A 12,652-nucleotide genomic window follows, 5' to 3' on the forward strand; every position below is an offset into this window, starting at 1 on the left:
ATTGTTACAATAGTATAAACACCAAATCTTAAAGTTTCAGTAATAATGGATATGGTTGTGGATACTACATGTAAAACTGGTGTTTACTGAAGTGCATAGTTTCAGTGAGTTTTTAAAAAAGTGTAATTATGGTAATGGATTAGGACAATGGATTCATCTTTGAAAAGTAGTTCAATGATATGGGTGTAATTTCAGTACTAAAGTGTTGATTCAATTCTTACAGTTCTCATTAAAATTTTTTTTGTAAACCTTTTTTTTTTTTCTTTTTTGAGACAAGTTCTCACTCTATCGCCCAGGCTGGAGTGCAGTGGCTCAATCTTGGCTCACTGCACCCTCCACCACCTGGGTTCAAGTGATTCTCCTGCCTCAGCCTCCCAAGTAGCTGGGAGTATAGGTGCATGCCACCACGCTCAGCTAATTTTTGTATTTTTTTGTAGAGGCAGGGTTTCCCCGTGTTGCCCAGGAGGGTCCCAAACTCTTGGGCTCAAGTGATCTGCCCACCTCGGCTTCCCAAAGTGCTGGGATTACAGGCTTGATCCACTGCACCCGACCGCCAAAGGCATTTTTTAAAATCACAAGACAGCCAGGACTAAATGATTAACTAATATGTCCCTGGATGCTCAACAAAACAAGAATACAATTTAAAGATTAGACACAAGAACCCATAAATAGTTGTAAACCATTCCTTAGATTCTAGAGTGAAGGAGATAACTAGTCATAAGAATGAGATCTTCAGGGAACCTGTGGAGATGGATATAACTGGCACTCTCCCAAAGTGCTGGGATGCCCGGCCTGGTAAACTCTTTTGTTTTCTCTCTCTTTTTTTTTGAGACTGAGTCTCGCTCTATCGCCATGCTGGAGTCCAGTGGCATGATCTCGGCTCACTGCAACCTCCGCCTCCTGGGTTCAAGCGATTCTCCTGCTTACCCAAGACCATTTTTTGATATAATTATCCATAATTTATACATGGCAAAATGTTCATGTCCATTATTTAAACCAAATCACCTATTAAAAAAATAGCAAAAATTCAGTAGGATTAGATGCAAAAAGTACAGACAGAGCTAAAAGAATGTTAACAAAGGGAAACAACAGCAACAAAATGCCAAAGGTGGAAAAAACAGATCCTTCTCAGAATGGCAAAATAAGGACGCTCAGATAGGAAGTAAGTGTCAAACCAAATTGTTAAGATGCCAGTATAAATAATTTTGGAGACATGAGCAGAGACTGATACTGATTCTCAACTGTCAAAATATTAGAAATGAAAATTATGTATGCATAGTAAGGACATGTTTAGTGGTGAAACATTCTAAGTTTTTAATGTACTCATACTGAGTAAATTTCATACTTTGAAGCTGCACTGTCCAATATGGTAGCTACTAGCCACGTGTGACTACTTAAATTCAAATTAATTAAAATTAAATAGGCCTGGACAGTGCCTCACACCTATAATCCCAGCAATCTGAGAGGCCGAGGTGGGCGGATTACCTGAGGTCAGGAGTTCGAGACTAGCCTGGACAACATGGTGAAACCCTGTCTCTATTAAAAATACAAAAATTAGCCGGCCGTGGTGGCGCACGCCTGTAATCCCAGCTACTCAGGAGGCTGAGGTAGGAGAATCGCTTGAACCCAGAAGGCAGAGGTTGCAGTGAGCTGAGACTGTGCCATTGCACCCCAGCCTGGAAAACAGAGCAAGACCCCATTTCAAAATAAATAAATAAATTAAATTAAATTAAAAGAAAATTCAGTTTCTCAGTTGTACAAGCCATATTTCAAGCTCTCAAGAGCCACACTGGACACAGAGCACACTGGACATGCAGAAATAGAACATTTTCATTAGGGTAGAAAGTTCTGTTGATGCTGTCATGGAGTATGACCAGTTGTGAGTGAAAGGGTCATAATTAAGCTTTATCAATATTACTTACCTGGAAGTTTATCACAACTACTTTTTAATTATCCATGCTATGAGTTACTTCTATTTTTTTTCTTTTTCTTTATTTACACACCCTTGCTGGCTTGAAAAGTTACTTTTAGAGGCAAGATATACAACTAGATAAAACAAGGGTCAAATTCTTTACTGCCTTTTTCTTCCAAGGAAGACTTCCTTGGAATTTTATTATCTATAAGCTAGTAAGAAATGTAATGGCTTATTGTGGCTATTATCTTCCAGCACCTAAGAAATGCAATAGCTTCTTGTGAAAAGTAAATATGCAGCAACTTTTGACTTGGTATAACATTTCAGATGCTGAATAACTAGGCATCATTTTATTCTTTCTGTGACTGAGCAGAACAGCTGAGGAAAATAAAGGATTTTGTCTGCTTTATATAATAGTATAACCCATAGCACACCCAGACAGAAATAATCTTTTATGATGAGTTTGGTAGGCACTTCTTTAACATGTAGGGGTAGAAAAAAAATAACCTCTATTAACAGTTAAGGGTTTTGAATTATAAAATGTCTCTACTGTGATACAAACATTTATTTATTTTCCACTTTTAAATTTTAAAAACAGCATTCTTTTCAGAAATGCCTTAGGAATATATAAATAATACTGACATGGATAAAAATCATTATATATTTTTCTGGAACAAAAGAGAAAATAATTGTATATTATCTAGTTCTCTTATGAGCTAAACATAGCTCTGACACTATAATTCAATAAAGATGTGATACACCAAAAAATTTTAGTAAGACAAATCCTACTATAAATATTAGATATAAAATAGTTAAAATGCCAGCAAACAGTTCAAAAATACATTAAAACCTTAACCTGGGCTGGGCAAGGTGGCTTATGTCTGTAATCCCAGCACTTTGGGAGGCCAAAGTGGGAGAATTGCTTGAGCACAGGACTTCAAGACCACCCTGGGTAACACAGTGAGACCCCCATCTCTATAAAAACTTTTTTTTTCTTTGTTTCGAGACAAAGAGTCTTGCTCTGTTGCCCAGGCTGGGTGAAAAAAAAATTAAAATAAGCATAATGAAGAGTATTTCTTACAATTTTTTTTTTTGAGATGAAGTTTTGCTCTTGTCACCCAGGCTGGAATGCAGTGGCATGATCTTGGCTCACTGTATCCCTCGCCTCCCAGGTTCAAATGATCCTCCTGCCTCAGCCTCCTGAGTAGCTGGGATTACAGGCTTGCACCACCACACCTAGCTAATTTTTTTATTTTTAGTAGATATGGGATTTCACCATGTTGGCCAGGCTTGTCTTGAACTCCTGACCTCAGGTGATCCGCCTGCTCAGCTTCCCAAAGTGCTGGGATTACAGGCGTGAGCCACCATGCCCAGCCTTTCTTAAAAATTTTAAAAAGTCAGTTATACCTGGTAAAGATGTATTCTTTTGTCTTTTTTTTTTTTTTTTGAGACAGAGTCTCCCTTTGACACCCAGGCTGGAGTGCCCTGGTGCAATCACAGATCACTGCAGCCTCCACCTCCTGGGCTCAAGGGATCCACCTACCTCAGCCTCCCCAGTAACTGGGGCCACAGATGCACACCACACATGGCTAATTTTATTTGTATGTTCTGTAGGGACAGGATCTCAAAATGTTTCCCAGGCTGGTATGAAACTCCTGGGCTGAAGCAATCCTCCCACCTTGGCCTCCCAAAGTGCTGGGATTATAGGGTGTGAGCCACTGTGCCTGGCCTAAAGATTCATTCTTTATCATCATTATTAAACATTTCACATTGTTTATCATCTTTAGTGACTGTAATAAAATACGAAACAGAAAAAAGAGAAACAGTGGAAGGGCAAAAACAAAAAATATATATTTTTTAGAATATATGATTGCATAGCAAGAAAATTAAAAAGAATCACCTCATAACTACTATAATTAATAAAAGAACACAGATATTGGCCAGGCACGGTGGCTCATGCCTGTAATCCTAGCACTTTGGGAGGCTGAGGCGGGCGGATCACGAGGTCAGGAGATCGAGATCACCCTGGCTAACACGGTGAAAACCATCTTGGCTAACATGGTGAAACCCCGTCTCTACTAAAAAATACAAAAAATTAGCCGGGCGTGGTGGCGGGTGCCTGTAGTCCCAGATACTCGGGAGGCTGAGACAGGAGAATGGCATGAACCTGCGAGGCGGAGTTTGCAGTGAGCCGAGATCATGCCACTGCACTCCAGCCTGTGAGACAGAGCGAGATTCTGTCTAAAAAAAAAAAAAAAAAAAAGATATTAAATGTTAATGCTGCTAAAATCAGTATATTTCTGTAAAATCATCAAAACCCAATTAGAATGTATGTAAAATAAACTCACCCAAGCAAAATGAGTGATATGCATGATCTTTATAAGGAAAACTACAATGCTGATTGAGAGATACAAATGAAGACTTAAATGGGGAAAACACCATATTCTTCAACAGGAAAAATAAATATCATAAGGACCTTTTTTTTTCAAACTGTCTTACAGATTTGATGCAATTGTAATTAAAACATAATTTTTGGATGCCATAAAAGAATGATTAGAAATTCATGAGAAAACATATTTTATCTGATAATAAAATACATTACTCTCAGATAATTAAATATATTACTATCAGATAATTAAATGCATTACTACGGTTTAAAACAATGCCTCTGATTAATCTCCCCTCCTCTCCAATATTAATGGGAGAGCAAGCTCCCTAAGACCTCTGGGTCACACTGAAGCAGGATCTTGGTTGATGTTGATTTCCTTTCCTTTTTTCCCTTTTTTCCCGTGGTCTGCCCTCTGGTGATCTAAATCAGCACCTACGTTTTCACTGCAGCAAGACAGTTCACAACTTGTTATGGAAAGCCAAGGAATTAGGAGTGAGTGCCTGGGTCAAAAGGGCATTAAATGACATCTTCCAATCCTACTTCCTATATAAAATAATATGACGTCTTGGTTTGGCAAAAAACGCTGACAATTTTTAAAGCATGATGTTTCTTTTCTGTATGCTTGCAAATTTCCATAATGAAAAGTTAAAAATAGAAACAACAAAAAATTATTGCTCCCACAAATATGTGACCAATATATAAAAGAATCCTCAGTCACATTAACAATTAAACAAAGGCAAATTAAAACAAGTAAAAATTTTTTTTCATTCCAGACCAAAAAGAACATTGAAACGCTAATACCTTTTAGCGCTAAAGAGGATATGGGAAAATAAGCAGCCAATCTTTTGGGGAGGGTATTACTGCTATCTTTTGGAGGGCAATTAAGTAATACCAATGGAAAATTTTATTGTTCCAAAAACATTTCATATCCTTACACCCAGAATTCCACTTTTATCTTATGAAAACACCCAGGGAAGAATGCAAAAATATATGTACATGAATGTTTATTGTACCATTGTTTATGAGAGCGAAACATTGGGAATGAGTATGAATAAGTACTTATTAAATAAGTTAAGATACATCATACAATGGAACACATGCATCTTTTATTTATTTATTTATTTATTTATTATTTTTTAGAGACAAGATCTCACTCTGTCACCCAGGCCGGAGTGTACTGGCGCAGTCAGGGCTCACTGCAGCCTTGACCTCCCAGGCTCAAGCAAACATCCCACCTTAGCCTCCCGAGTAGCTGGGACTACAAGCAGGAGCCAACAAGCCCAACAAATTATTGTTTTTTTTGTAGAGATGGTGGTTCCACCATGTTGCCAGGCTGGTCTTGAACTCCTGGGCTTGAGAGATCTGCCTGCCTTGGCCTCCCAAAATGCTGGGATTACAGGCATGAGCTACGGCATCTGGCCCATGCATCCTTTTAAAAGAAAATCTCTTTTTATCAACACAGAAAGATATCCTTGGAAAATTAAGTAATGAAACAACTCGTATAAATGAGAATGGCCACATTTTGGTTAAAGAAGATAATAATATACGTTAATATGTTCATTTAAAAAAATGTGGAGGCCAATAACCAAACAATTACAATGGTTTTCTTTAGATAGTAAGAAAAATGGGAGACTTTCACTTTCTTCATTGTGTAGTTCTGTAATGTTTGATTTTTTCAAGGCACATATATTATTGTTAAGCTCAATGTCCTGGGTTCCAAATATGAATCTTGAAGTTATCATCATCATTTTCCCCAGAATATTCTAAAAGGGACTAGAGTAAATAGGACACTCATTGATTTCCTTACTTGTCTGACAAGGATAAAGCCCAAGCTAGTGGCCTCCACAGTGGGTGCACAAGATGATCCATTGATGCTCAGAGAAAAAGTATGCGAACATCAACATACATATTTTAATCTCATCCTTTGTTAATTTCCATTGTCAACTTTTGTTTTTAAATCATACATTATATAATTATTTATATTCATAAATGTATATTACATGTATATCATTTGTACATAAATATATACTCATATATTACGGGGAGTGTTCAAACATTTTTTTATTGATGGAGTATCTGATCAAAAGAGTTTAGAGTCCATTAATTTAGGTCAAAGCTGCCTTTAAGAGAACTTGAATTAGAGCTAAGGTAGACATAAACATTTTCCATAAGTTAGTTGTCCTCCCCAAAGTCACTAATACAGTACTTAAAAGGAAAAAAATCAGGAAAATAGGTGAGAAAACACAATGGAAGACACATGAAAGAGTCAACTCAGTAAGTAATAAAAGGTAGAAGAGAAGAAAGTAAAACGGACAGAATGATTATTTACCTATACACAAATCAAATAATAAAACAATGGGGAAAACCTTAATGAATAAAGAAAGGGAAGTCAAAATGCAGGAATAGTCCCACAAAACATTTAGAGATGAAGAAACCACATTCTATCCTGAAAAAAAAGCAAATTGTCAAACAGTTGGAATTTAGAATGTAACACATCTGTAGTTCTATGTTTTCAGCCTAATGCTTCAAGCATAGTATGCACTCAATGAGTAAAGAAAGAAAGGATTTTAGGTTATAGCATTTTACACCAAATTAATGTGTTTAGCTGCAATTTGAAAGCTTAATGTGTTTTTGTTATTTCTCTATTTTAAATTGAGCTGCTGAATATTTTATAGATTATGAGAAACAGAAAACAAAAAAATTGAAAAAACAATGGCAATTTTGTGATGTTACATTTGCAAATGCAATGAAAAAGGTAACAACTCATTGGGAGAATTTCAAAATATGACAGGTAATTATTTATTTGCCAACCCATGGAAACCTCCTCTATTCCTTTGCCGTTATATGAGCCAAATAATCAAATAAGAATATTTGCAATGAACTTATAATTTAGAACTTCTAAAATTTCTAGAGCCAGAATAAAGGCAATTAACAGGATTAAAGCAGTGACCTTTTTCCTGCTCTTGAAAGCTGAATTCATTAGTGACGTTCTATACGGTCTATAAATTATTTTTTAAAATAACACTTCCATTGTGTGGGTATTTTTAAGCCTATTGCTAATAGTTACTTTAAGCCCTCTGATCTAGAATGTAAGCATGTTTTGTTAGTGTTAAAACAAAATGAAATCCTGTTTTGCAGTAGTTACAACTTTACCATCTCTCCCAGGGGCAGCAAAGATAAATAGATTATTTTTAGGCAAATGTAAGGCACTATATTCTTAGATTATCATTCAGATATTCATCAAATATTCAATGAGGGTTTCTCAGTGCCAAACATTGTGTTGGAGTTGGAGATCCACTCGTGAAATTAATGAGTCAGCCTCCTCCAGAATTCACAATAGTCTTTCCTTGATTAATTTTGCAATATCCAAACTATCTGAGATATATCTGTGCATGTGTATGGATGTGTAGACTCATGAATATAAAACACTACTATAAAAAAGATAACTACTTAACATTTAACCATGATTATTGTAGGAGGTGCAATACTTAACTCTTAAAAAAAGTAAGTAGAAGTATCTTTAAAAGCCGCATAATGTGTGATTCAACAATTCTACTTTTAGGAATTCATCTTCACAAAATGATAAAGGTTAGTGGCAAATATTTAATTACAAGGGTGCTCATAGTAGAATTATTATTATTGTTGTTATTATTATTATTTTAAGACAGGGTCTCACTCTGTTGCCCAGGCTGGAGTACAGTGGTGTAATCAGAGCTCACTGCAGCCTCCAACTCCTGAATTCAAGCAATCTTCCCATCTCAGCCTCCTGAGTAGCTGAGACTACAGGTGCTTGCCACCATTCCTGGATAATTTTTTTTTTTCTTTTGCAGAGGCAGGGTCTCGCTATGTTTCCCAGGCATATTTTTTTAAAAAGTGCAAGAAACATCTTAGATCAATGCAGGATTGCTTACATAAATTATGATCACACAATGGGAAACTAGGTAATATTAAAAAGGATTATGTAGAAGTGTTTTCAATGATGTGGAAAAAATTCCATGATATATCAGAAAGTGAAAATTAGAAGTTTCCTTGTTGCTTAGGTGTCTAGTACAGAAAACAAGTCCTGACTGTGCTCTGAGCCTGGGCAAGACACTTGACCTCACAGACTCAGTTCTTCCATCTGTTAATGTGTGGAATTTGTGTTACCCTCAAATTCATATGCTGAAGTGATAGTCCACAGTGCCTCAGAATGCGATATTTGGAGATAAGGTTTTTAAAGAGGTAATTAAGTTAAAATGAGGTTATTAGGGGGCCTTAATCCAATATGACTGATATGCTTATAAGAAACGGAGATTAGTACATAGGCTGTATAGGGGTAAGACCAGGTATAGACACAGGGAGAAGACAGCCATCTGCAAGCCAAGACGAGAAGCCTCAAAGGAAACCAACCCTGCCAATAACTTGATCAGAGACATAGACTTCAGAACTTTCAGAAAATAAATGTCTGCCGCTCAAGCCACCCAGTCTGTGGTAATTTGTTATAGCAGTCCTAGCAAACTAATACACCATTTAAAAGAGGGAGAAAATCTTAATATCATCTTTATTTAGCTCACAAGTTTGCTGTAAGTCAAATAGATGTAATCTCTTTGTAAACTGTAAAGTACTATATAAATGTGAATAATTGTTATTCACAAGGTCCTTGAAAATGCAGTCATGTTGTTACGATTTGAATTTTATATTCCTTTAGTAGGGCAGACACTCAGTATCAGTACAGGGGATGGGGAGAAGCAAGAGATTTCCTAGGGCTGCAGCAAAAAACACAAATGATTTGTCATTGAAAGAAGAGGCAAAATAAAATGAATAGTTCCTTGCATTCATGCTGCAAATTTTTAAGCAAACCGATACCTAAACTACATACAATAACAATATCTAATATGTATTAAGCATTTACTAAGTACCTAGCATAATCCCAAGTACTTTTAATATGTGTTCTCAGCCAGGCGCGGTGGCTCACGCCTGTAATCCTAGCCTTTATCAACCCCATGGTAAAAGTGCTTGGTGTGTGTATGTGTGTCATGTACTGTGTATATATATTTATTTATGTGTGTGCATCTATTTTAGTTTTGTTACATGTATCTTTTTTTTTTTTTTTTGGAGACAGGGTCTCACTCTGTTGCCCAGGGTGGAGTACAGAGGTGCAATATCGGCTCACTGCAACCTCTGTCTCCAGGTTCAAGCGATTTTCCTGCCTCAGCCTCCCAATTAGCTGAGTACAGGCGCCCATCACCACGCCAAGCTAATTTTTAGTAGAGACGAGGTTTTGCCATGTTGGGCAGGCTAGTCTCAAACTCCTGACCTCAAGTGATCCACTCACCTTGGCCTCTCAAAGTGCTGGGATTACAGGCATGAGCCACCGCACCCGGCCTGTTATACATATCTTTAACATTAAAATTTGTTCCTATGTGGTAAGAACAGTAAAAGGAGTAATAAAATTGCCAAAATAAGTTGTGATTTTCCAAGAGATGACTGTGCTTTGCATTACTGTGAAACACTGAAAACACTGCTAAATGACCTATGCGTAACACACACCCATGCTATCTTCTTACTCTTGCCCCAGTACATCCATATGCATTGCTCTAACAGTGTGCAAGCTGTTCTTCTGAGTTTATTTTATGATAAGCGTATTGAATACATTATCTCAAATCTGTGTAAGCATCCTGCTTATAAGAATCTCAAGCAATGAATAAAAAGAAAAGCCTTATGTTTTAAGGAGAAAATGAAATAATAAAATATTTTGAAACAAATGAGAGAACTTGCAGGCCTGAAGGAATCCACATTGCCCATTTAGATTTAGAGATTTAGAAACAAGGCTAAGAAAATAAAAGAAAGGAAAACTCTTACATCATAGTTATCTGCTTCCAGTGGAATTGAGAAGCATTTGGAAGAGACTGAAGACAAAGAAAGACTCTAATGCTGAACAATGAGTGTGGATGAGGCCGGGCGTGGTGGCTCATGCCTGTAATCCCAGCGCTTTGGGAGGCCGAGGTAGGCAGATCACTTGAGGTCAGGAGTTTGAGACCAGCCTAGCCCGGCCAACATAGTGAAACCCTGCCCGTACTAAAAATACAAAAATTAGCCAGGCTTGGTGGCGGGTGCCTGTAATCCCAGCTCCTTGGAAGGCTGAGGCAGGAGAATCGCTTGAACCCGGGAGGTGGAGGTTGCAGTGAGCGAAGATGTCACCACTGCACTCCAGCGTGGGTGACAGAGCGAGACTCTGTCTCGAGAAAAAAAAAGGGCTGTGGGGGGGGCTATCATTTTAACCTAGTAGATTGGCAAAGACTATTTTTTAAAAATATTTAAAATAGGGAGCCCGAGGCGGGCAGATCACGAGCTCAGGAGATCGAGACCATCCTGGCTACTAACATGGTGAAACCCCGTCTGTACCGAAAATACAAAAAATTACCCGGGCGTGGTGGCGGGCGCCTGTGGTCCCGCCTACTCGGGAGGCTGAGGCAGGAGAATGGTGCGAACCCGGGAGGCGGAGCTTGCAGTGACCCGAGATTGCGCCACTGCACTCCAGCCTGGGCGACAGAGCGAGACTCCGTCTCAAAAAAAAAAATAATAATAATAATTAAAATAATTAGTTCAGTAATTTTCCCATGAGAATTTGTTCGAGGGAAATAATGAGACTAGGGTTCAAAAACATATGTGCAAGTATATTCATTACACAATTGTTTACGGGTTTAAAAAATTCAAGTAATTTAATGTAGCAGTTGAGGTTTGGTCAAATTAACCAAGATATATATTCTTTCATTTAGCAATTCTGCTGGAATCTATCCCTTGGAATAGTAAATAAAACCAACAGTTCTCAGGATGCAACATTTATAACAGCAGTTTGTGGAAGCAAAAAATGGCAAATCCACAGCACGGAGGAGGAAAAAGAAAAAAATTGCACATGGCCAGGCACGGTGCCTCACGCCTGTAATCCTAACTCTTTGGGAGGCCGAGGCAGGCGGAACACCTGAGGTCAGGAGTTCGAGGCCAGCCTGGCCAACATGGCGAAACCCTGTCCCTACTAAAACTACAAAAATTAGCTGGGTGTGGTGGCACATGCCTGTAATCCCAGCTACTCTGGAGGCTGAGGCACAGGAGAATCTCTTGAACCCAGAAGGCTAAGGTTGCAGTGAGCTGAGGTCACGCCACTGCACTCCAGCCTGGGCGACAGAGCGAGACTCTGTCTAAAAAAAAAAAAAAAAAAAAGGCACATAATGATCATCTTCATGCATTCAGGTAAGATACTGTGTGCACATTCACAAAATAAAAATAGACTAAAGGATGGTTTATGGAATACTATGCAGTTGCAAAGAAAGCACAAATTTATATTTTTAAAAGATAAAGATATAAGAAAAAAATTCATAACTGTACATATAATCCTATTTATGTAAAAAATATATATATATATATGGTTGTCTGAAGATATTTTGGGACTCCAAACACCTTCACAATGACCACTGAAGACCCCATTCCACAATGGACTCCACCTAAATGCTGAGTTGGAGTTATAATAAGATTTGGTTACCAAGGCATTTATTTAAGTGAGTATTAACTTTGCTCTTGCCCTTGAAAAGCTCCTAATTCTAGTTATCTTTATCCAAGCGTAAGAGATTAAAGACCCGCCTGAAGATACAGATGCAAACTGACCGTAAGACAATCAGCGAGTCTCACACAGCTCGGCTTTGTATTTTCAGACAACCCTTTAATTACAAACGCCTCTGGGCCAATGGTCTGAAAATGGTTGGGACTGAGGTGCTGGGGATACAATGATGAACTGCAGCCGCTGAAGCCCTGTCAGGTGGAGACCCGGTTACCTCAGACCCTCACTGAGCCTTTTCTTTTTTCTTTTCTTTCTTCCTGTTTTTCTTTTGAGACGCAGTCTCCCAGGCTGCAGTGCAGTGGCTCACTGCAACCTCGGCTTCCCGGGTTCAAGCGATTCTCCTGCCTCAGCCTCCCGAGTACCTGGGATTACAGGCGGCGCCACCACGCCAGGCTAATTTTTGTATTTTTGGTAGAGACGAGGTTTCACCATGTTGGCCAAGCTGGTCTCGACCTCCTGACCTCAGGTGATCCGCAAGCCTCGGCCTCCCAAAGTGCTGGAATTACAGGCGTGAGCCACCGCGCCCGTCTACTGCGCGTTTTCTAAACCTTGGCTCCTACGCATTTATCAGAAGAGAGAGCGCAATCTGTCTATGACTTCCAGCCAATAGCTACACTTCTTTTCTCAGCCCTCGTCCACTGTTCTTTTTTAACCAATCAGAAACGTTTTTCAAACGTTTGCCCTCCCCGCTAAGTGCGCAGGCTCCTGGAAAGTTGTCTTCACTTCCGGGCCGCGGTCTAGGGCGGCTACGTGTGTT

The 12,652-nt window shown here is 38.6% G+C and overlaps 1 annotated feature.

The window, feature by feature from the left end:
- Window positions 12,038-12,087: an enhancer, noted in NCBI's record as "active region_15781". NCBI's record gives its function as "activates an Ori minimal core promoter by ATAC-STARR-seq in GM12878 lymphoblastoid cells {active_cell/tissue: GM12878}" and the evidence as "EXISTENCE:reporter gene assay evidence [ECO:0000049][PMID:35858748]".

The sequence above is a fragment of the Homo sapiens genome, chromosome 2 (assembly GCF_000001405.40).
Source record: "Homo sapiens chromosome 2, GRCh38.p14 Primary Assembly".
Taxonomy (NCBI): Eukaryota; Metazoa; Chordata; class Mammalia; order Primates; family Hominidae; genus Homo; species Homo sapiens.